The following is a 22,163-nucleotide window of genomic DNA, read 5'->3' as shown; positions in this document are numbered from 1 at the left end:
ATCCCAGCACCTTGGGAGGCCAAGGTGGGTGGATCACCTGAGGTCAGGAGTTCAAGACCAGCCTGAGGTCAGGAGTTCGAGACCAGACCAATATGGTGAAACACTGTCTCTACTAAAAATACAAAAATTAGCTGGATGTGGTGGTGTACACCTGTAATCCCAGCTACTTGGGAGGCTGAGGCAGGAGAATCGCTTGAACCTGAGAGGTGGAGGTTGTAGTGAGCCGAGATCATGCCACTGCACTCTAGCCTGGTGACAGAGCAAGACTCTGTCTCAAAAAAAAAAAAAAAAATTAATAGGATACAAAACCAAAGTGATAAAGATGAATGAGAAAGTAAAGAGAAATTATCCTGACATTAAGAAGTAAAGAGTAACCAAAAAAAGTTTAAATCATAAGAAAAACAGTAATTCATTAAGAGGAAGAGAATAATCATTTCACACTCTATACGTATATGAAAACATCATGTTGTACACCTTAAATACACATAATTTTGTTGTCAATTATATCTCAATAAAGCTGGAAAGAGGAAGAGATAAACTGCAAATGAAAGTAATAAATAGGCTATTAAATTGACAACTTGTGAATTATATAAACTCATTGAAAAATATTCAAATTTCTTTCGATTTGATCTCACACTAGCATTGAGGAAGATAACATAAAACTCACGCCTATAATCCCAGCACTTTGGGAGGCTGAGGCGGGTAGATCACCTGAAGTCAGGAGTTCGAGACCAGCCTGGCCAACATGGCGAAACCCCATCTCTACTAAAAATACAAAAATTAGCCGGGCATAGTGACGCATGCCTGTAATCCCAGCTACTCAGGAGGCTGAGGCAGGAGAATTGCTTGAACCTGGGACGTGGAGGTTGCAGTGAGCCAAGAGCGCAGACAGATCAAGACTCCATCTCAAAAAATAAAATAATACAAAATAAAATGCAGAATGTCACGAAATGCCTATGTTAAGAGGATATTTGATAGAGTTTTCTGAAATTTGACAAAAATACTAAACATATATATAAAACCAATAATGAACTGAGGTGAAAAATAATTTTTCTGAATTATCACCAATAAAAGGCAAATACTGATCAAACACACTAGAGAAAAAACTAAATTATCTTTCTATTTTCTTTAGAAAATATTATAAACTAACATCATATGAAGAGATGATTAAAGAGCACATAGCCATATAATGTAAGGGGAAAAAAGTATGAAGAAGTATGCCTGGCAGTTACTTAATAAAAATATGTTACGTTAAATTTTTGCATTATTTGTAATATTTTTCAACTTTTAAAAATTTATAACGTTATATTTTGTTTTAGTCTAAATACATATTCAGTTGTGTACCTACTTTTGTATCTAAAATTGTTATTCTTTTTCTTAAGGAGCCTCCACTCGCCAAATGCACATAAACTTCAGGCCCCACAAAATTTGAATCTGTCCCTGTTATCCACTTTTCTCTCTACCTAATTGGTCTACCCTCACCCATGCTTGTCCTCTTCCAATCTGTTCTTCATGCCACAGTCTAAAGGATCTTCTAAAAGTTCATGTATGATTATATTTATCTTACATTCTTTCAGTAATTTCCAATTAGCCTTACTATAAAAACCCAAGTCCTTAAAATAGGATCTGGGTCCTCACCACCTCTCTCCCTCTGCTCTAACCACACTGGCTTCTTTTAGTTATTGCAATGCACCAGCTCAGAACCTTTGCATATGCTGTACTCTGTGCTTAGGAGACATTCCACCACCCCAATACTCCATTAACAAATTATCTCCTACTCAAACTTCAGATTTCACTCAAAGATCACTTCCTCAGGGCACCTTAGACTAAATCAGCCTCCCACCACCTTAAATGCTCATTGCACCCTTTACTTTTCCTTCATAGCATGTCTATTTGTAATCATATACAAGATACAAGATTAGATTGTCCATCTCTCTGCCATTAGACTGCAAATTCCATGAACGAGGGACAATGTCTCTTCAGCACTAGTGTAGCAGTGTTACCGGAAAGGGGTCCTGATCCAGACATCAAGAAAGGGTTCTTGGATCTCGAGCAAGGAAGAATTCAGGACAAGACCATAGAGTAAAGTGAAAGAAAGTTTATTAAGAAAGTAGAGGAATAAAAGAATGGCTACTCCATAGGCAGAGCAGCCCGAGGGCTACTCGTTGCCCATTTTTATGGTTATTTCTTGATGATATGCTAAACAAGGGATGGATTATTCATGCCTCCCCTTTTTAGACCAGAGAGGGTACCTTCCTGACATTCCCATGGCGTTTGTAAACTGTCATGGCGCTGGGTGGGAATTTAGCAGTGAGGACGACCAGAGGTCACTTTCATCACCATCTTGGTTTTGGTGGGTTTTAGTCGGCTTCTTTACTGCTACCTGTTTCATCAGTAAGGTCTTTATGACATGCATCTTGTATCTTGTATCTTTATGACCTCCTATCTCATCCTGTGACTTAGAATGCATAACCATCTGGGAATGCAGCATAGCAGGCCTCAGGCTTATTTTACTCAGCCCCTTTTCAAGATGGAGTTGCTCTGGTTCAATCGCCTCTGACAGCAGCATCCTGAACAAAGTGGGCAACTAATTACACAATTTCTGGCCTCAAATAGTTTATAATCTAACCTTGAAAAAAATAGAAAAGAAACAATTTTACAATTTGGGGCTTCGATACAGATGAAATAGGTTATTTTTTTGTGCAAGAAAGTCTTCCTGGAAGTCTTGAAACCTGAATACAGAAGGATTAGTTATTCTAACCAGCTTGAAAAATTGGCCTAGGCCAAGGCTGTAACCAAGTATTCTGGTTGTCTAGGAACTGCTCTGACCACACTTCCGGCATAATTGTTTCTTGCAGAAAAACTACTTCAGTTTTTTTAAAGCTTCTTTTGCCTTCTGTAGGCTTACTTAAAAAAAAAAAGTATTAAGATCCTTTTGTGGTTCATAAGCCTGATGATTGGGTTTTCATGCTATTGTGTGAGTTACCACCCCTACCTCAAACCTTGTTAGGACTCCGCGCATTACCCCTCTGTGTGAAAAAAACAAAGTAATAAAGGTAATTTTTTTTTTTTTGCATAAGCCCTATCCTTGTACACATCAGGTTTCAACGTGTTTCCATCATTATTTTTACCTTATAGTATAGTGTTTTCACGAGTTTTTTTTTTTAATACTTTAAGTTCTGGAATAGTTTTCACGAGTTTTAAGAGACTCTTCTTGGCAAACAGTTCAACTCAGAGAAAATACTTTTACCAGCAAGGAGGTATACCTTGTTATATCGGTCTGGGGATGTGACTTGACAGTTCACCTTGCCAGGAATATCTCTGTGATTTTTTGTTTGTTTGTTTGTTTTGAGACAAGAGTCTCGCTCTGTCCCTGAGGCCAGAGTGCAGTGGCTCACTGCAAGCTCCGCCTCCCGGGTTCAAGCGATTCTCATGCCTCAGCCTCCCGAGTAGCTGGGATTACAGGCGCCTGCCACCACGCCCAGCTAATTTTTGTATTTTAGTAGAGACGGGGTTTCCCCACGTTGGCCAGGCTGGTCTAAAACTCCTGACCTCAGGTGATCCACCCGCCTCCCAAAGTGCTGGGATTACAAGCGTGAGCCACCGCGCCCACGGTGGGCGGTGAGAGGAGAGGGGCAAAGTCTAATTATTCCAGAGCGACCACAGAAATATCTGGAGCTAGTTTCAAGGGCTATTCCCCGCTAAAGATTACTTAATAATGCAGTTGGATGACCACGTTTCAAGATTTTTGTTCGATCTGCACATCCTCCAACATGTTCCAAGAGGGTGTTTAAAAAGTCACCAAGGACCATTAGGATAACCATTAGGATAAAGCTGTCAGGACATCCCTAAATTGTTTGAAACTACGATGTCTGCTGAGGAAAGAAGAACATAATTAGGCTTTGGAGTTAAGAGAGCTAACCAGTTCCGAATTTAATGTCTGAGCCAAATGAGAATGTTAAGATTTATCTCACAAGTTGTAGAGAAAATTAAAAACGATTAAACATCCGGGCCTTGAATAAGTGCCCGTCGACTTGGGGATTAAATATGGTAGAGTCCACTTTCCTCACCAGCTGATGATAATTTCTGTTATGTACAGTCCTCCTTTCTCTTCCTTTATCGGTTGGTTAGTATTTGCCAACTCTTTCCTGCTTTTCATCTTCTCTTCCCCCCATTTAAATCTTTCCACCAAGCGCTCAGAAACACGTACGTCCTACCAGAACGCAACCCGAGCCTGCGCGAGAGGTACGTACAGGTCTTGACCTTTTCCCGGTTCTCCGCCCTTTTCCCGGTTCTCCGCCCTTTTCTCCGGTTCTCCGCCCTTTTCTCCGGTTCTCCGCCCTTTTCTCCGGTTCTCCGCCCCTTTTCCGCCACTGCCTGATGCCTCCCTCCAGGCTGCGCCAGTCCGCAGCCCCGCCCACGCCGGCCGTCACGTGACCGCGCAGCGTGCTCCGCCCCCTGTCCCTGGCTCACGTGATCGCGCCTAGGGAGAAAACGTCTGACTCCAGCCACCGGCCTTCAAGGCACGGCTTTTTATTCCTTCGGCTGGTCGGCCTCTCGCCCTTCAGCTACCTGTGCGTCCCTCCGTCCCGTCCCGTCCCGGGGTCACCCCGGAGCCTGTCCGCTATGCGGCTCCTGCCTCTAGCCCCAGGTCGGCTCCGGCGGGGCAGCCCCCGCCACCTGCCCTCCTGCAGCCCAGCGCTGCTACTGCTGGTGCTGGGCGGCTGCCTGGGGGTCTTCGGGGTGGCTGCGGGAACCCGGAGGCCCAACGTGGTGCTGCTCCTCACGGACGACCAGGACGAAGTGCTCGGCGGCATGGTAACTCTTCTGTTTCTGCCCCGCCCCTCTATCTCTTGGGCTGACTACCCGGTTTGTTGCTCTCTTTCCCGGTCCCCACCACCCTCCTCCCCGAACTGGCTGTCTTATCCTTGGGTAGGTTTGGTTTTCCCACCTGAGGCCCTTTATGCCGGTGTAAGGGACTGCAATACTCTTTTCCTTTCTGGATTGAGGCACATGCGTACAGCACACAGAGCTTCTAGTCTGGACCGTACTGCTGTGGAGTTTACGTTAATATCTCAAGATAAACATGTGGAGACCAGTGGAGGATGGGTTGAACCAATGAGGATCAGGTGCTGTCTAAGAGCACTCAAGGCCTGATTGTTTTTCTTTTGGATTAGAGGATCACAGACAAGTCCAGTCCCCTTTATGAGGGACCTAGACCACCTCCACGTTTGTGCCTGTATACAATGTCTGTATCTGATGTCAATAAAAATAAGCCTGGGCCGGGCGCGGTGTGTCACTCATGTAATCCCAGCACTTTGGGAGGCCGAGGCGGGCGGATCAGAAGGTCAAGAGATCGAGACCATCCTGGCCAACATGGTGAAACCCCGTCTCTACTAGAAATACAATAATTCTAGCTGGGCGTGGTGGCGCGCAGCTGTAGTCCCAGCTACTTGGGAGGCTGAGGAAGGAGAATCGCTTGAACCCGGGAGGCAGCAGTTGCAGTGAGCCGAGATCGCGCCACTGCATTCCAGCCTGGCGACAGAGCGAGACTCCGTCTCCAAAAAAAAAAAAAAAAAAAAAAAAAAAAAAAGGCCTGAAGTGAACTAATCTGGTAGGCCGACCGTCGAACTATTGAGGGTGTGTGTTGCCTCACAAGAATCAAGAAAATTCAATTAGTGTGATTGAACACCTGACTGTTGCATTAGAGACTGTCAGTGTTTCATTTTCTATCTAATGGGTGTTGTCACAAGACTTCATTTTTTTTCCAGAGTAAATTTTGCTTGTGTATTGCAGAATTATGGAATGTGTGACCTTTGGAAACATCCACTCCAACCCCTTCCCCATGGAGGCCCAGAAAGCAACTTGCCCAAGACATGAGTAGTTGAGGCAGAGTCCTCTGACCCTGGGTTCAGCATTCCTCTCTTCGCTTTAAAACCAAATGCTTTATTGCTTTCTTCGTTTCAGTTCTCTTTTTGCTTTCAGCTGAATGCTGAGACTATGAAATACTCCAGGCAAGACGTTCCTAACTTTTCTTGTGTAGTTACACACCCTAGCTCAGTGTCCTTCAAACCTCTGGTCCCAACCCTTGAGTGAGTTATGAAATCAGTTTAGTGAGTAACTACCAACATTTTTTATTTCCTCTGGAATAGAATAGAATAGAAAAGGTCCATGTGTGTGAGTGTGTGTGTTACACTTGATAAAGGTAATCATTATCTATCTCTCTTTCTTCCCGAGTTGTAAAATATATTTCTTAGGTTGATGCTCAAGAGCTTGAGAGTCTTTTATAGCTGATGTTTTAAGAGGCTTGCATTTTGACTACACATTTCTTCCTGCCATATATGCTTCATTGTCTGTTAGTTTCTACCAAGCCATGTTGACATTGGTCTTAATTTAATTTTCCTCCTACACTTTAGGTTCACTACTCTTCCAACTACTGCACTTACTTGTCTGCTCACAAAATTCCTTTTTTATTAAAAAAAAGAAAATGTGTCCTTGAAGAGTGTTTTGTCCAGAAAAAGCAAGCCTTCTCTAGCAGTGACTTAAGTACTCAGTTAAAAGGTCAGGCTTTTTTAGGTGTTGAAAACAAAATTGATTACTTAAATATAAGGTATTCAGAGTTGTTTCTTCAATTCTTATAAACCACAGCTGTAGTCTGTGTGTATTTGAGGTCTCTTTAGTATGTTAATCCAATTTGCTTCGTTAAGCCAGTAGCAGATTTTTTGAGTCAGGGTCTTGCTCTGTCATCCAGGCTGGAGTGCAGTGGTACAATCAAGGCTCATTGCAGCCTTGAACTCCTAGTCTCAAGCAGTCCTCCTGCCTCAGTCTCCCTAGTAGCTGGAACTACAGGCACATGTCACTACGTCCAGCTAATTTTTAAATATTTTGTAAAGACAGGATTTCTCCATGTTGCCCAAGTCGGTCTTGAACTCCTGGACTCAAGTAACTCTTGAACTCCTGAACTCTTGAACTCCTGGACCTCAGCCTCCCAAAGTGCTGGGATTACAGGCATGAGCCACTGTCTCGGCCCAGATTCTTTTTTTTAATAAGTGTTTCTACTGGAGAGAGGTACCAAAATTGAGTGGAGGGCATAAGTCAAACTTAATGTTCCAAACTCAAGAATTCTGGCTTCTCTTCTAGGCTTTTTCAGAATATTCTACCACTAATTGTCAAACAGGACTCCAAGGGGAAGAGCTAGGACAAGAGCATTTGAGAACTTACTTGGAGCCGAGCAGAGTATGAGGATTTTTATACTTGTGCTTCAGTCATCACAGGAGTCCTCTGCTGTACATAGTATCCTTATCTTAAAAGGAAACTAAAACTGGAAGGTGGTTAAGTGACATGACTAAGTTCATATAGCTAATATTGGACAAAGCCTGGGTATCTTATGACCTCAGATCACCATGCTTTTTCTCCTATTCTAGAATACTGTGATAATAATCAGATTTCATTCCACATACCCACACCAGCATAATCACACCATAGGTCAGAGAGTCTGCAGGTGACATTCGGGGATGCCAGTGACATCATGGAACTCCTTAATTTACATGTAAAACTTTGTGTATAATATCTTCATTTTTGTGGAAAGAGCTCTAACCTAAAAAAGATTACAGATTGCTGCCATAGTTGGCAAAATAAATAGTGGTTAACCCCCACCAATCTCACTCAGGTCAAAGGATTGTATATAGCATTTACAACATGATTTAGATTTATAGTGGAATTTTTCAGGCATCTTTGAAATGCTCTTTTATATAGTAGCATCGTCTTTAACATTTCATTGTATTTGTTCCAGGTATCTGTGGGACTCTGTTTTTATTTTTTATTTTGCCAGGACACTGTTCTTATCACTTTCTTGATTTTATTTAAACATCATTATAGTGTGGTGGACACACTGTTCTTCACAGAAGCATAAGCTGCTCTTTTAAAAATAATTCATGGCCGGGCGCGGTGGCTCACGCCTGTAATCCTAGCACTTTGGGAGGCCGAGGTGGACAGATCACGAGGTCAGGAGTTCAGGACCAGCCTGGCCAGCATGGCGAAACCCTAAAATACAAAAATTGGCCGGGCATGGTGGTGCGTGCCTGTAGTCCCAGCTACTCGGGAGGCTGAGGTGGGAGAATCACTTGAACCCAGGAGGTGGAGGTTGCAGTGAGCTGAGATTGTGCCACCGCACTCTAGCCTGGGTGACAGAGCAAGACTCCATCTCAAAAAAAAAAAAAAAAAATCATTTACTCTAAGAAAAGTGACATTTGGCCAAAACCACAGGCAAGTGAAAGAAGAAACTATGATGAAAGGTAGGGGAAGAATAATTTTTTTTTTTTTTTTGAGTTGGAGTCTTGCTCTGTCACCCAGGCTGGAGTGCAGTGGCGCGATCTCGGCCCACTGCAACCTCCTTCTCCTGAGTTCAAGAGATTCCCCTGTCTCAGCCTCCCAAGTAGCTGGGTTTACAGGCACCCACCACCACGCCCGGCTAATTTTTGTATTTCTAGTAGAGACGGGATTTCACCATGTTGGCCAGGCTGATCTTGAACTCTTGACCTCAAGTGATCCGCCCACTTCAGCCTCCCAAAGGGGTGGGATTACAGGTGTGAGAATAAATATGTCATTGCTTCACTGAAAGCAAAACAATTTCCATTGTTAGCCACAGAATTATCAGAATTGTCGTTTCAGAGCAACTGTGCATGGAACCAGGAAAGTAAATGATTCTTTAGGGTTTTAATGAAAAGGGTTCTGCTTGGGGTGAGTAGAGTAACATGTTTGCCCACATGAAGGCATGAAGTTGGCTGCTGCTTAAAGACTGTTGCATGGCCTTAACTTGACCAGCCACTGTCTTTGCTTCGATCTTAAGGATTCATTTTACATTCTAATTAGCATAGAGACACATGACACATTTTGAGTAGTGTGGTTTCTTGTTTGGGACTTTTTCAATTAAGCACGGATTATGGTTGTCTTTTGTACTATAGTTAGCAGTATAAAGATGGCAGTTAATAAAAACTTCTTTTTTTTTTTTTTGGAGACAAGTTCTCACTCTTCTTGCCTAGGCTAGATTGCAGTGGTGCAGTCATAGCTCACTGCAGCCTCGAACTTCTGGGCACAAACAATCCTCCCACCTCAGCCTCTTAAGTAGCTGGGACTACGGGCATGCACTACCATGCCCAGCTAATTTTTATATTTTTTGTAGAGCCAGGGTCTTGCTGTGTTGCCCAGACTGGTCTCAAACTCCTGGCCTCAAGCAGTCCTCCTGCCTCTGCCTTCTAAAGTGCTGGGATAACAGGTGTGAGCCACTGCACCGGGCCTAAAGTCTAAATTCCTATGTGGCCCTGCATCACTGACTCCTGCCTGCCTCTCTGACCTCATCTTACCTCACTCTCCCTTTTCCTCCCTAAGCTGCTTCCATCACCACACTGGCTTCTCTGTTTCCTCCCAGGTGCCTCTCTCCTTCCTCTGGCAGCCCTTGTACTTGCTATATACCCAGCCTGAAACATCTTCTGAATTTTTGCATGACTGACTCCTCATCGCATGGCTCTCCGTACTGAAGTTACCTCCTGAGAGGCCTTTTCTGACCACCCATCTAAAGTAGTTCCCCTTTCTTCCCACCAGCTGTAATCACATCATCCTGGTTTATTCTCTTCATAGCACTTACCACCACCTGAAATGACTGATTGTTTACCTGTTAGTTGTTTTAAGTCCCCAAGAGTGCAGAGATCATGAGGGCGAGGACCATCTATCCTCTGTCCACCACTGCCTAGATTAATGCCTGGCACGTGTTGTGTTTAATAAATGTTATTACACAGTCTTACTGTAAATCAGATATTCTTTCATAATTTTACATATTTATCAGACAGTTTGACAATTAAGTCCCATACAGTCAACTCTGGTCCTTTTCTCCACTTACTCTTTGAATCCTCATTTCACCTTCAAATGTCCTCACAGTAACTCAGGTGTTTTATCAAACCAATGTCTCATGAAGCCCAGTATTCTTTTCCTGAGGATGGTACCCAGTGATGCTTTGAGGAGAGTATGGCTGACGACCTTGCTTCGGAAGGCTGGCGAAGATCTTCTGCTTCTCTAGCGTCTCTTGGCAGCCTCTTCTGGATCTACTCATGAAATTATCAGAGCTTTTTTTGGATAAGTTAGAATCCTCATCCTTTTGAGTTTATGGATTCCGTAGGTTTTGTATTTATATAAAACAATGGGGAAAAGTCATTTATACATTATTGAAAATGAGGCTCCTGTTAACCTACTTATGTATTTAGATTAGCAATCTTTAAGGAATTATTGCACAACAAAATATACTTAAAACTGCATTCAATATGGTCTTAGGTTTCAAAGGTATCTCAGAATCATCGTGAACTGACCCATATTACAACTAAAATGACCTCTTCAATGGTGCTTTTTGCTGTCTGGAATCTGAAGAATATTAGTGTTCCTTTTATTCGTATTTAAATGACTGTCTTCATACTTTTGTCCTCATTCTAGAAGGAAGTTAATTGTTCTCTGTACTTGTAAGGATCTTAGATTTTGAACAAAAGATGAAAAGCAGGACATAAAATAGTTTCTGAGTAGCCTTTTGCCTGACAGTGTTCTGTGTACACCTGCTTGCCACCTGGTTCAAGTCCTTATCCTGAGGTGCTTGTGGGTCTATGCAGACAACAGTAGTTGGTAGTTGAACAGTGTGTGTCTGGCCTCCACCACTGAGTGTGTGAGGTTTGAATCAGTCTCGGAGTCCTGGGGCCTTGTCTGGCTTTCAGAATCCAACTGTTGTCTTACTTCTGTTCTATAGGGCGGAAGGCTCCCTTTATATCATTTCCCACATCCTACTTCTAAAGATTAATTCATGGAGATAGGTCTGCCCTATCTGCCTTATCTGGGCGCTGATGACTAATAAGGGCACAAAGATGTTATTGCCATCAACTGAACTTTCCCTTCCTGCAAGCATTTTGACTTCCTGCACTTTTATACAGGATGGAGCTGGCCGGAACCAAACTTGTCTCTAGAATCATACAAGACTCTCTTTGGCTGTTGCTTAGAGCTGACCATTTGGGAATAAAAGATTGAGTAAGATGTAACAAAACAGGAATTCTGGGCTGTGTGTCTCAATTTATTGGAAGAAATTGTTTAATGGATAATTACTTACTTTTACAGACACCGCTAAAGAAAACCAAAGCTCTCATCGGAGAGATGGGGATGACTTTTTCCAGTGCTGTAAGTTTGAAAGTTAATTCAATTTTGTTAATTTAACTGTGTTTGTATTCTAAGAAGATACTCTCTTCTCGGGAATCTGGTATGATCTATGTGGTTTTTTCCTTGTTAAATGCCTGATCTGAAGGAAGGATTTATTTAATGTGAATTTTAATTGAAATATTACCTCTTATCAATTGAAGATTAATTGCAGATATTTCTAAGCCAGTCTCAGAACTAGAGAATTTTATTTTAAACCTTACCATTTGAGGTTTGAAAATGGATTATAAAAAATCAAGGAATATGTATGCTGTGTAAACTTTTCCTTGGTAAAAACCCAATTAACCCTAATAGCCAAAACTGACAAATAGCAACACACACACCCCATAAATATAGATGCAGAAATTCAAAATAAAGTATTAGCAATTCATTTTCAAGAACCATGTACATAACCAAGTGAATGGTAGTCTAGGAATGTAAGGGTAGCCTACTATCAGGGAATCCCTTGAACAGTAGCATAGTGTTATGTTTAAGTGCTCAGACTCTGGAGCCAGACTGCCTAGTCTGGAACACCCTCTCTGCCTCTTTTCTAGCAGTGTGACCTTGGACAAACTATTTAACCTCTCTGGCCCTCTTCCTCCCCATTTATAAAAGGGAGTACCAAAATCTTCTTCAGAGTTGTTGTGAGGTTGAGTTAATAGGTGTAGAGCACTTCTATCAGTGCCTGACTTATTTTTTCTTTTCTTTCTTCTTTTTTTTTTTTTTTTTTTGAGTGGCGCAATCTCGACTCACTGCAACCTCGGCCTCTGGGGATCAAGCAGTTCTCCTGCCTCAGCCTTCTGGGTAGCTGAGATTACAGGCACCCACCACCATGCCCTGCTAATTTTTTGTATTTTCAGTAGAGATGGGGTTTCACCATGTTAGCCAGGCTGGTCTTGAACTCCTGACCTCAAGTGATCTGCCCGCCTCGGCCTCCCAAAGTGCTGGGATTACAGGCATGAACTACCGCACCCAGCCAATGCCTGACTTCTTATAGTAAATACTACATGATGTTGGTTATTATATGTCTACCAACATGATACAAGTAAGTGAAAGAAGGAAAATTGAATGTTCTTCCCAATAGATACGAGAAAGTACTCTGAAATTTTAGCATTCTTTCCTGGTAATAAGCTATCATAAGAATACATCCTGACTATGATGCCTATTTCAAATACATAAGGTAAAAGACTCAGGGCATTGCTGTTAGGGATGAAACAGTGCTCCATTTAATGTTGTTCCGACTGTCTAGTCATAGCCATAAGTCTTATGGAAATAAGAGGTAAAAATATTGGAAAAATTATTTCTGCTTGTTTGGATTTTCTATCTAAGAAACACAGGAGAATTATTGAAAACCCTTTAAAATCACTAGAATTCAGCAAGATAAAAATGAAAAAATAAAAATTAATAACTTTCTTCCATGTAATCAGTTAGAAAAATAGAAGGCGGGAGACAAAATATCTCATTCATAATTATTTCTTTTTATTCTATATAAAGACAGAGAAAAGGTCTCACTCACTATGTAGCCCGGGCTGGTCTGGAACTCCTGAGCTCAAGTGATCCTTCCATCTCAGTCTCCCAAAGTGCTAGGATTACAGGTGTGAGCCACCATGCCCAGCCTCATTCATAATTTATAAACTCTCTAAGAGTAACTGGTTGGGGCCAGAAATGGCTATGACCTATGTATTTTACAAAATGATGCGAGTGGTAAGATAAAAAATATTTGATACGTAGATATGCACATCATTTTATATACATTTCTTTCTTTTTTTTCTTTTTTGAGACAGGGTCTCACTCTACCGCCCATGTTGGAGTGCAGTGACGTAGCTCACTGAAGACTTGAACTCAAACTCCTGGGCTCAGATGATCCTCCCGCCTCAGCTTCCCAAGTAACTCGGACTACAGGCATGCATCACCACACTTGGCCAATTTTTTTCCACTTTTTTTTAGTGACAGGGTCTCACTCTGTTGCTCAGGCTGGTCTCAAACTCCTGGCCTCAAGTGATCCTCTGCTTTAGCTTCCCAAATAGCTGGGATTACAGGTGTGAGCCACTGTGCTCAGCTAAGACACAATATTATGTAATAAAATGTTTATTCTAGTTGTAATCCTAACAAGATTATTTGAGACTCAAGTGATTCCAAAAGTTATCTGGAATAATAAATAGATGAGAATAATCAAAGTAATTTTTTTAAAAAATTACAGTGGCTCATGCTGTAATCCCAGCATGTTAGGAGGCTGAGGCAGGTGGATTGCTTGAGCTCAGGAGTTTGAGACCAGCCTGGGCAATATGGCAAGAGCCTATATCTACTAAAAATACTTAAAAATACCTGGGCATTGGGCCAGGCATGGTGGCTCACACCTGTAATCTCAGCACTTTGGGAGGCTGAGGTGGACAGATCACCTGAGGTCAGGAGTTCGAGACCAGCCTACCCAACATGGTGAAACCCCATCTCTACCAAAAATACAAAAAATTAGCCGGGCGTGGTGGCGAGCGCCTATGAGCCCAGCTACTTGGGAGGCTGAGGCATTAGAATTGCTTGAACCCAGGAGGTAGAGGTTGCAGTGAGCCAAGACTGTGCCACTGCACTCCAGCCTGGGTGACAAGAGCGAAACTCCATCTCAAACCAACAACAGCAACAAAAACAGAGGCATGGTGGTGCACGTCTGTGGTCCCATCTACTTTGGGAAGTTGGGGTGGGAGGATTGCTTAACCCTGAGGTTGCGGAGGTTGCAGTGAGCTGAGATCGCACCACTGTACTCCATCCTCGGTGACAGAGTAAGACCCTGTCTCAAAAAAAAAAAAAAAAAAAATTGCTCTACCAGATGCTAAAATGTAATATTAAGATAAACTGTGTACTGGCCATAAAATTGATCAGAAAACAAAAAGAGAAAGAGTTAAGAGTTGCCAATTTAAACTTAAGAAGTCAAACATCTAATAAAAGGCAAAAGTAAAAATGGGAAGTATTTGTAACATGACTGAATTCTTCCTTAACTTAAATCTTATGTAACAAGAGGCCGACAGCCCTGGGGGAAAAAAATGAGCAAAGCATATGAACAAACCGTTCACATAAACACAGTCAGTTAGTACATGTGGAGAATGTTCCTCCTCACCATTTTTTAAAAATGTCAAATCGGCTAGACACGGTGGCTCACGCCTATAATCCCAGCACTTTGGGAGGCCAAGGCGGGTGGATCACGAGGTCAAGAGATCGAGACCATCCTGGCTAACACTGTGAAACCCCATCTCTACTAAAACTACAAAAAATTAGCCGGGCGTGGTGGCGGGCACCTGTAGTCCCAGCTACTTGGGAGGCTGAGGCAGGAGAATGGCGTGAACCCAGGAGGCGGAGCTTGCAGTGAGCTGAGATCGCGCCACTGCACTCCAGCCTGGGCAATAGAGCGAGAATGTGTCTCAAAAAAAAAAAAAAAAAAAAAAGCCAAATCAAGGCCGGGCACAGTGGCTCACGCCTGTAATCCCAGCACTTTGGGAGGCCGAGGCAGGTGGATCATGAGGTCAGGAGATCGAGACCATTCTGGCTAACACGGTGAAACCCCATCTCTACTAAAAATACAAAAAATTAGCCAGGCATGGTGGCGGGTGCCTGTAGTCCCAGCTACTTGGGAGGCTGAGGCAAGAGAATGGTGTGAACCCGGGAGGCGGAGCTTGCAGTGAGCCAAGATCGCGCCACTGCACTCCAGCCTGCGTGACACAGCGAGACTCCATCTCAAAAAAATAAATAAAAATAAAAATGCCAAATCAAATTTGAAAGGCAAAAAAACTTGCTAATATTGAAAGGATAATACCCAATTTTTGCATGAGTGTGTGCTCAAATGCCCATTCCTTCCCTGCTGGTCCAAGTATAAGCTAGTATTCCTTCCCTGCTGGTCCAAGTATAAGCTAGTATTACCTTTCTGTGAAGTGGCTTGGTGATGTGTACCAATATGATTGGGTAGAATGGGGAAAATCTGTTGCTGACAGTAGCTAATGGAAATATAATTACAGTAGGGAAAAAAAGTCTGTGTCCAGTGTATAAAATGATATAGGAAATGTGTAAAGCTGCAGATCAGCCTGCAAATGAACCACTGTGTCTCAATTAGATCCAAGTAGTATTCTTTGTCTTTGGTTAAGACCCGTCTCTCACCATGCTGTGCCCCCTGTGTATAAATATTATTTCTGGCTGGGTGCAGTGGCTCACACCTGTAATCCCAGCACTTTGGGAGGCCAAGGTGGAAGGATCACTTGAATCCAGGAATTTGAGGCAAGTCTGGACAACACAGGAAGAACGTTATCTCTACAAATAAAAAAATGAAAAAAAAAAAAGCCAGGATGGTGGCACACACCTGTACTCCAAGCTGTTAGGGAGGCTGAGGTGGGAGGATCACTTGCGCCAGGAGGTCGAGGCTGCAGTGAGCTGTGCTTGTGCCAGTGCACTCCAGTCTGGGTGACAGAGTGAGAGCTCGCCTCAAAAGAAAAAAAAAAACAACTATCTCTGCGGCAGATGAGACTAGAATTACTGTTATCCTGCAGAAAGAAGCCACTTGAGAAAGAAATCCGTTCTCAGTTTGTTCTGTCTGCTTTAATGTCTCCACTATGATTTAAAGCAGCCCTGAAGCATGTCATGTGTAGAAAAAAATATATATATTCCATGAGAAACTACATATTTGAAGTTAGAGTATTAAGGAGCTTTTCTTTACTCTCTTTAACAATGATGAGAAGTCCATCTTTCTTGTGTGACTTTGTCGTTTTTGCTTCCTTTCCTTTGTAGTATGTGCCAAGTGCTCTCTGCTGCCCCAGCAGAGCCAGTATCCTGACAGGAAAGTACCCACATAATCATCACGTTGTGAACAACACTCTGGAGGGGAACTGCAGTAGTAAGTCCTGGCAGAAGATCCAAGAACCAAATACTTTCCCAGCAATTCTCAGATCAATGTGTGGTTATCAGACCTTTTTTGCAGGGAAATATTTAAATGAGGTATGTTGAATGATCTGTTTCTTTTTTTATAATGGCTTTTAAAATGTGAATATAATTCATGTTAATTTTATTATTTCAATTAATGTTAAAGGATTTCTTGGTATACGTTGTTTTCTGTGAATCTGCCCATTAAACAAGTACCCATATCATGTAAATATGTTCATATAAGTACACATGTACATATTTACATGATTTGGGTAAGAACTTGTGTATTTATATGATATGGGCACTTGTTCTTCCTTTCAGTAGTCCCAGGAGCATGTATTTAAAAATTGTCCTAAGAGTGCTGCTGTCTGATGCGTCTTCCCTTTTTCCTCAGGAATTCTGTTTGTCATGTGGCTGTCATGGTATCTTTGTTTCCATTCCTTGTTATCAGTATCTAACTGAAGATATTTTTCGTCTTAGAATCTTTCCTCAGATTTCTTAGAATCTTTTCTGAATTATAACAACTTAATGCTTAATTCATTTTCTGATGTGAAACATGGCAACAAAATGTGCAGAGATTAGTTACCCAGAGTCAGGGTCGTGCAGGTCATTAAAGTGTATGGCCAGCAGCTGGTACACCAGCCTTGTAGACCTGGATGGAGGGATACCTCGTGGTGACCTGTCAAGGCTGGATTCCATGTGCCCACATTCACACATTGGCCTTAGCTTTTACCCAAAGTCCAAGCTTAAAGGAAATAGTATGTTCGAGAATGTTTGGGGTTAGCTCTTACAGTTAAAGTGGGGGTTCAAGACAGAGAAAATGTACTTATGCTCTTTATCTGTAGTTGCTAGAGATCTTAATATCTGATCTGGATTTTCTGTTAATTCTCCCCTCCCCCCAATAATTGGGGAAATCTGCAACCTTGTGAGTTTACAGGAAGATGAGTCAGTTTGAAAAGGATCATGAGAAATAGGAACTGTGGATACTGGATCATTTGGTTGGGGCTATGGGTCATAAAGAGAGCTTACACTACTTTGCATATTTGAAGGTCATCTGATGTGTATATAAAATTAAGAGAGATCGTTAAAGTATAAAGATTTTGTTTTCAGGGATTAAATTCTGCCTTAAGTGGATGGCATTAAACCTTGTAAGGATAAAGTGGGATAATTCTGTGGTTTCTTTATTTTATTCATCTCATCAGATAAATCGAGCTCTAAAAGTGGGTTTCATCTGCAGGGCAACTGAAATACAGATTATCCCTTATCCAAAATGCTTGGGAGCAGAAGTATTTTGCGTTTCAGATTTTTTGGATTTTGAAATATTTGCATGATACTTACTGGTTGAACAGTCCAAATCTGAAAATCTGAAGTGCTCCAGTGAACATTTCCTTTGAGTGTCGTGTTGGCACTCAAAAAGTTTTGGATTTTCAGATTTGGGATGTTCAACTTATAATAAGTCAATAGCTTATAGTCTGATTATTTGAACTGCTTAGGGTCAGTTGGACTATTCAGTCTATGGTATCAGCAGCTCAGCATTCACCCCATGAATAGGCTGTGTGGGGTAGGCTGTGTGGACTTTTTCTGTAGTGGGTCAGATAGTAAACATTTCAGGCCTTGCAGGCCATATGTCTCTGTTGCTACTATTCAGCTCTGCCACTGTAGCGTGAAAGCAGCCACAGACACTGCACTATGTAAATGAATGTGGCTGTGTTCCAATAAAACTCTTTATCGCTGTTAAAATTTGAATTTTATGTAATTGTCACATTTCACAAAATATTCTTATTTTGATTAACTTTTATATTTTAAAATTGTTAAATTCTTAGCTTGCTGTTCATACAAAAGTCATCAGGCCAGATTTGGCTCACTGGCTGTAGTTTGCCAACTCCTGCTTTAGAAGTTCCTAGGATTATTAGCGTTTATTTTTGACTAGTGTCTATTTGGGGAAATTAGGTACCTACTATGTTTCAGGCACTGGTCTAAAAAGATTGTAAAATTTCCTGTTTCTTTCTGGTCTGGTCATATCTAAGGACTTGTAATTGTCCCTACTTGTTTTGCTTTTCAGTACGGAGCCCCAGATGCAGGTGGACTAGAACACGTTCCTCTGGGTTGGAGTTACTGGTATGCCTTGGTGAGTGATTATTGAAGTCTGTGACAATTTTATGCAGCCCTACAGATGCAGAATATGTTTAATTTAGCTCTGATATTGACATAACTTTATTTGCTTTTACAATTAGTCATTTTAAAAACCTTAAAATTTATTGACTTGTGGCCAGGTGTAGTGGCTCACGCCTAGAATCCCAACACTTTGGGAGGCAGAGACAGGAGGATCTCTTGAGTTCAGGAGTTCGAGACCAGCCTGGGCAAAATGGCGAGACCCCATTTCAACAAAAAATTTTAAAATTAGCTGGGTGTGGTGGCGTGTGCCTGTAGTCCCAGCTACTCGGGAGGCTGAGGTAAGAAGATCACTTGAGCCCAGGAATTTGAGGCTGCAGTGAGCTGTGATTGTGCCACTGCATTCCAGTCTGGGCAACAAAGAGAGACTCTGTCTCTTTAAAAAAAAAAAAAAAAAAAAAAAAAAAAAAGTCTATTGACTTGTGAGTCACTCCTTTCTGGGATGTTTTTCCTGCATTGTACAAGGTTTAGCAAAGTAGTTTGCTTTTCTACCTGATCTACTTCTGGCTTTTAAACTAGAATGCATAATTGAAACTATGCTTGTCTTTAATAAAACCCTAGTCAAAAAATCCAATTCAGTATTGACTTGAGTAATTATCTTTTTAATGTCTTATCACTGCTCAGAGTAGAGTTTAGCCCAGCACGGATTCAGACTTCCACTTTGTGCACTGACCTCATAACAAATTTGACTTTCCTCTTTTTAATAGGAAAAGAATTCTAAGTATTATAATTACACCCTGTCTATCAATGGGAAGGCACGGAAGCATGGTGAAAACTATAGTGTGGACTACCTGACAGATGTTTTGGTGAGTTGCAGAAGCTTTGTAGCTCTGTCCTTACAGGGTTGGCTCACATTTGATTGAAGACTCTGCCTAGAAAACCTATAATCTTATTCGTTTGTGTTGGGTAATATAAATGCACAGTAACTTGGTCTAACTGCCCAAGAGTATTTCCAGCTGATTACAAACTCCTCAGGGTGTTTTCTTTGTGTATAAGCCAGGCTCAGATCTAATGCTCTTGAAATTCCAGCAACAAATCCCTTTTCCAAAGGTTAATCTCTTCGACTACAGAGATTACTTTGTAGAGGTTTTACTTTGTAAGTGTACCTACTCTTGACCCCGGTTTTACTCACAAGCTACAAGATGTCAGCTTCACAGGCCCCATTATGAGGATGGAGAGATAGGGATACTGGATTTATTTGGGCATTGGGTATTTACATATAAAAATTACTGAAAGCAGGTGAAATTGGGACTTTCCTATTCTGAGGCGTTTCTAATGACAGTCTTCAATAGTATTATATATTCACTCAATAGTTGAGCACCTAGTGTAGCCAGTGTTCAACAGTAAATGAAGCAAAGTCCCTGATTCTGTGGAAGTTAATTTTATTTACACACACAAACACACACAGTCTTACGTGTTGCATCATTAGCTGGTGATCAGTTCGAGAAATAAGTTAGGGTATGAGGTTACTTAGATAACATTTAAGCAGAAACCTGAAGTAGGTGAGAATGAGCTGTGCAGATCAGGGGGAAGAGTGCTACAGAGTCAGGGAATAGTAAGTAGGAGGGCCCTGAGGCAGGAGTATACCTGGCATATTTGAGAAACCACAAGGAAGCTGACAGGACTGGAGTGAAAGGTGGATGGAGGGATTATAGGAGATAGATACAGTCAGTATCTGTTGAGTTAGTGTTGGGAATACATGAAACTACTTCAGAACAATGAAAAACAACATGTATGTAGCATGCTTTCATTTTCATAAAGTATCTCCTGATAAGCAAAGGCAAAACTTAAGTCCATGTATTAAAACCCTAGTGGAATGTATTTGAATCTAATATTATTCACTTAGCTACTTCAGTGCATAATTTATGACATCTACTTTCTACATATTTTCATAAGGTTAAGGTAACTTAATCTACCTTTCCCACTGTTTTAAGTTGACTGTCTTTTTACATTCTTTAAGGCATCACATGTAGATACCATAATCTCCATTAGTGTAAGTTAATAGTAAAATATCCAAGTTACTGTTTCCTTCTTTGTGGGAGACATGATTTCTAGGTCATAAAAAGTCATCAAGATCTTAATTGCCTTCTTATGTTGGTATGCTTCTCAGTTTTTAAAGTATTGCCTAAAAAACAAATATATTTGTTCCAACAATATGCTTGCAAATGGCTATGACATAAGATCATGTGCTAAGATTGCTTAAAAGCTAGTAAGACCCTGTACTGTCTGCTCACCAGAAGACATTTATCTATTAAATACTCATCTGTTGGGTAAGGTAGGAGATGACAAATCTTTTTATGTGTCAGGCTAATGTCTCCTTGGACTTTCTGGACTACAAGTCCAACTTTGAGCCCTTCTTCATGATGATCGCCACTCCAGCGCCTCATTCGCCTTGGACAGCTGCACCTCAGTACCAGAAGGCTTTCCAGAATGTCTTTGCACCAAGAAACAAGAACTTCAACATCCATGGAACGGTAGCTTCCCCCACCACTTGTATTCAGCCATACTAAGTATCATTAACTATATGGTATACTTGTCAGGAAGCCTTTGAGCCATGTAGTGGGTTTTTCTTCACAATATTTTAAAGGTAATTGCATCTGTCCCTAGTACAACCAATAGTATAAACTTGCATTGCAAGTACAGATAAAGTTCCTGCTACACATCCAGTGAGCAGCTGGAGAGTTGACAGGGAATGGTAAAGAATGCCATCTTTCCCAATTTACAGGAATATCACTCAGGCTCTCCTGGTAACCTCTGTGCTGACTCTCCTCCCTCCTGGCATAGCCGGGACTGCACCAGCCTCCTGGTGGCCCTCACTAGCCTTTGAGGCATGGGAAGAAGGGGTGGCACAGAGCAATATGGTTGGAAAGGGAAGTTGAATGGAAAAATGAACGAGGTGACATGATTAAGAACCACAACAACCCATGTATTTGCCTCACGTGCCAATTACTTATACTTCCCTTGGCTTGGTGTATAGACAGTTCCCTGGTTCAAAGACAGAAGGCCTGCATTGCCTCAGGTTTGTTATCCAGAAATTGTAATTGCTTGTAAGGTTATAGAAAGAATGAGTCATAAAGTCAAACTCAGTACTACCACTTTCTAGCTCAGTACAGACTATGAGCACGATGCTTAACTTCATTTTTTCATGTGAAGTGGGAGTTCTTGATCCCTCATGGAACTACTGTATGAATTCAAGTACATAGAAACAATTAGCATATTGTCTGGCACATTATAGGCATGTGCTTGTTAAATACAGTTTCAAAGCTGAGTGAACTGTGTTTTAAATTAGAGTACTGGCCGGGCGCAGTGGCTCATGCCTGTAATCCCAGCACTTTGGGAGGCCAAGGCGGGCGAATCACGAGGTCAGGAGATTGAGACCATCCTGGCTAACACAGTGAAACCCCATCTCTACTAAAAGTACAAAAAATTAGCCGGGCGTGGTGGTGGACACCTGTACTCCCAGCTACTCGGGAGGCTGAGGCAGGAGAATGGCGTGAACCCGGGAGGCGGAGCTTGCCGTGAGCCGAGATCGCACCACTGCACTCCAGCCTGGGAAACAGTGCAAGATTCCATCAAAATAAAATAAAATAAGATGAGATGAGACAAGATAAGATAAAATAAAATAAAATAAATTAAAAAATAGTAAAATAGGACGATTCTCAATCTGTGTTCCAAAAGAAGTTAATAAAAAGTTCCCATGGTCAAGTAAGTTTGGAAAGTTTGAGTTAAATAAGTCACTCTGCTACAGGACTTCTCAGAGTTATTCATGATCGAATGTGAATTTCTAGCAGGAGAATATGCTATACAGCATTTCTCAAACTTAATAACACTTTGAGGAGCATAGTTTGAGATCTGGTGGCTTAGGGTTTTACGAA

At 41.7% G+C, this 22,163-nt stretch overlaps 2 protein-coding genes and 1 non-coding gene across 9 annotated transcripts in view, besides 1 other annotated feature; 2 read left to right on the top strand and 1 right to left on the bottom strand.

Annotated features, from left to right (window-relative positions):
* Nucleotides 1-4,419, bottom strand: part of TBC1D30 (TBC1 domain family member 30) — a 121,550-nt gene extending 117,131 nt beyond the window's left edge. For all 7 annotated transcript variants that reach the window (XM_047428595.1, XM_047428596.1, XM_024448903.2 and 4 more), the window contains exon 1: nucleotides 4,254-4,419. The gene's annotated coding sequence lies outside the window, so the exon portion shown is untranslated. The remainder of the gene's footprint in view (nucleotides 1-4,253) is intronic.
* On the top strand, nucleotides 2,930-3,035 carry LOC124903113 (small nucleolar RNA U13). Its single transcript, XR_007063648.1, has one exon. It is a non-coding gene; the product is annotated as a small nucleolar RNA U13 (small nucleolar RNA).
* Nucleotides 4,497-22,163, top strand: part of GNS (glucosamine (N-acetyl)-6-sulfatase) — a 45,958-nt gene continuing 28,291 nt past the window's right edge. The window contains exons 1-6 of the mRNA NM_002076.4: nucleotides 4,497-4,818; nucleotides 11,146-11,205; nucleotides 15,985-16,191; nucleotides 18,179-18,244; nucleotides 18,996-19,094; nucleotides 20,595-20,762. Coding sequence (NP_002067.1) covers nucleotides 4,627-4,818; nucleotides 11,146-11,205; nucleotides 15,985-16,191; nucleotides 18,179-18,244; nucleotides 18,996-19,094; nucleotides 20,595-20,762 — 792 coding nt within the window. The 5' untranslated portion in view covers nucleotides 4,497-4,626. The remainder of the gene's footprint in view (nucleotides 4,819-11,145; nucleotides 11,206-15,984; nucleotides 16,192-18,178; nucleotides 18,245-18,995; nucleotides 19,095-20,594; nucleotides 20,763-22,163) is intronic.
* Nucleotides 5,071-5,951: an enhancer, noted in NCBI's record as "H3K27ac-H3K4me1 hESC enhancer chr12:65151732-65152612 (GRCh37/hg19 assembly coordinates)". NCBI's record gives its function as "activates a minimal SCP1, AML or CMV promoter by ChIP-STARR-seq in naive H9 embryonic stem cells {active_cell/tissue: H9 hESC(naive)}" and the evidence as "EXISTENCE:reporter gene assay evidence [ECO:0000049][PMID:30033119]".

The sequence above is a fragment of the Homo sapiens genome, chromosome 12, assembly GCF_000001405.40.
Source record: "Homo sapiens chromosome 12, GRCh38.p14 Primary Assembly".
Lineage (NCBI taxonomy): Eukaryota > Metazoa > Chordata > Mammalia > Primates > Hominidae > Homo > Homo sapiens.
This window is presented reverse-complemented; position numbering and strand designations above follow the sequence as displayed.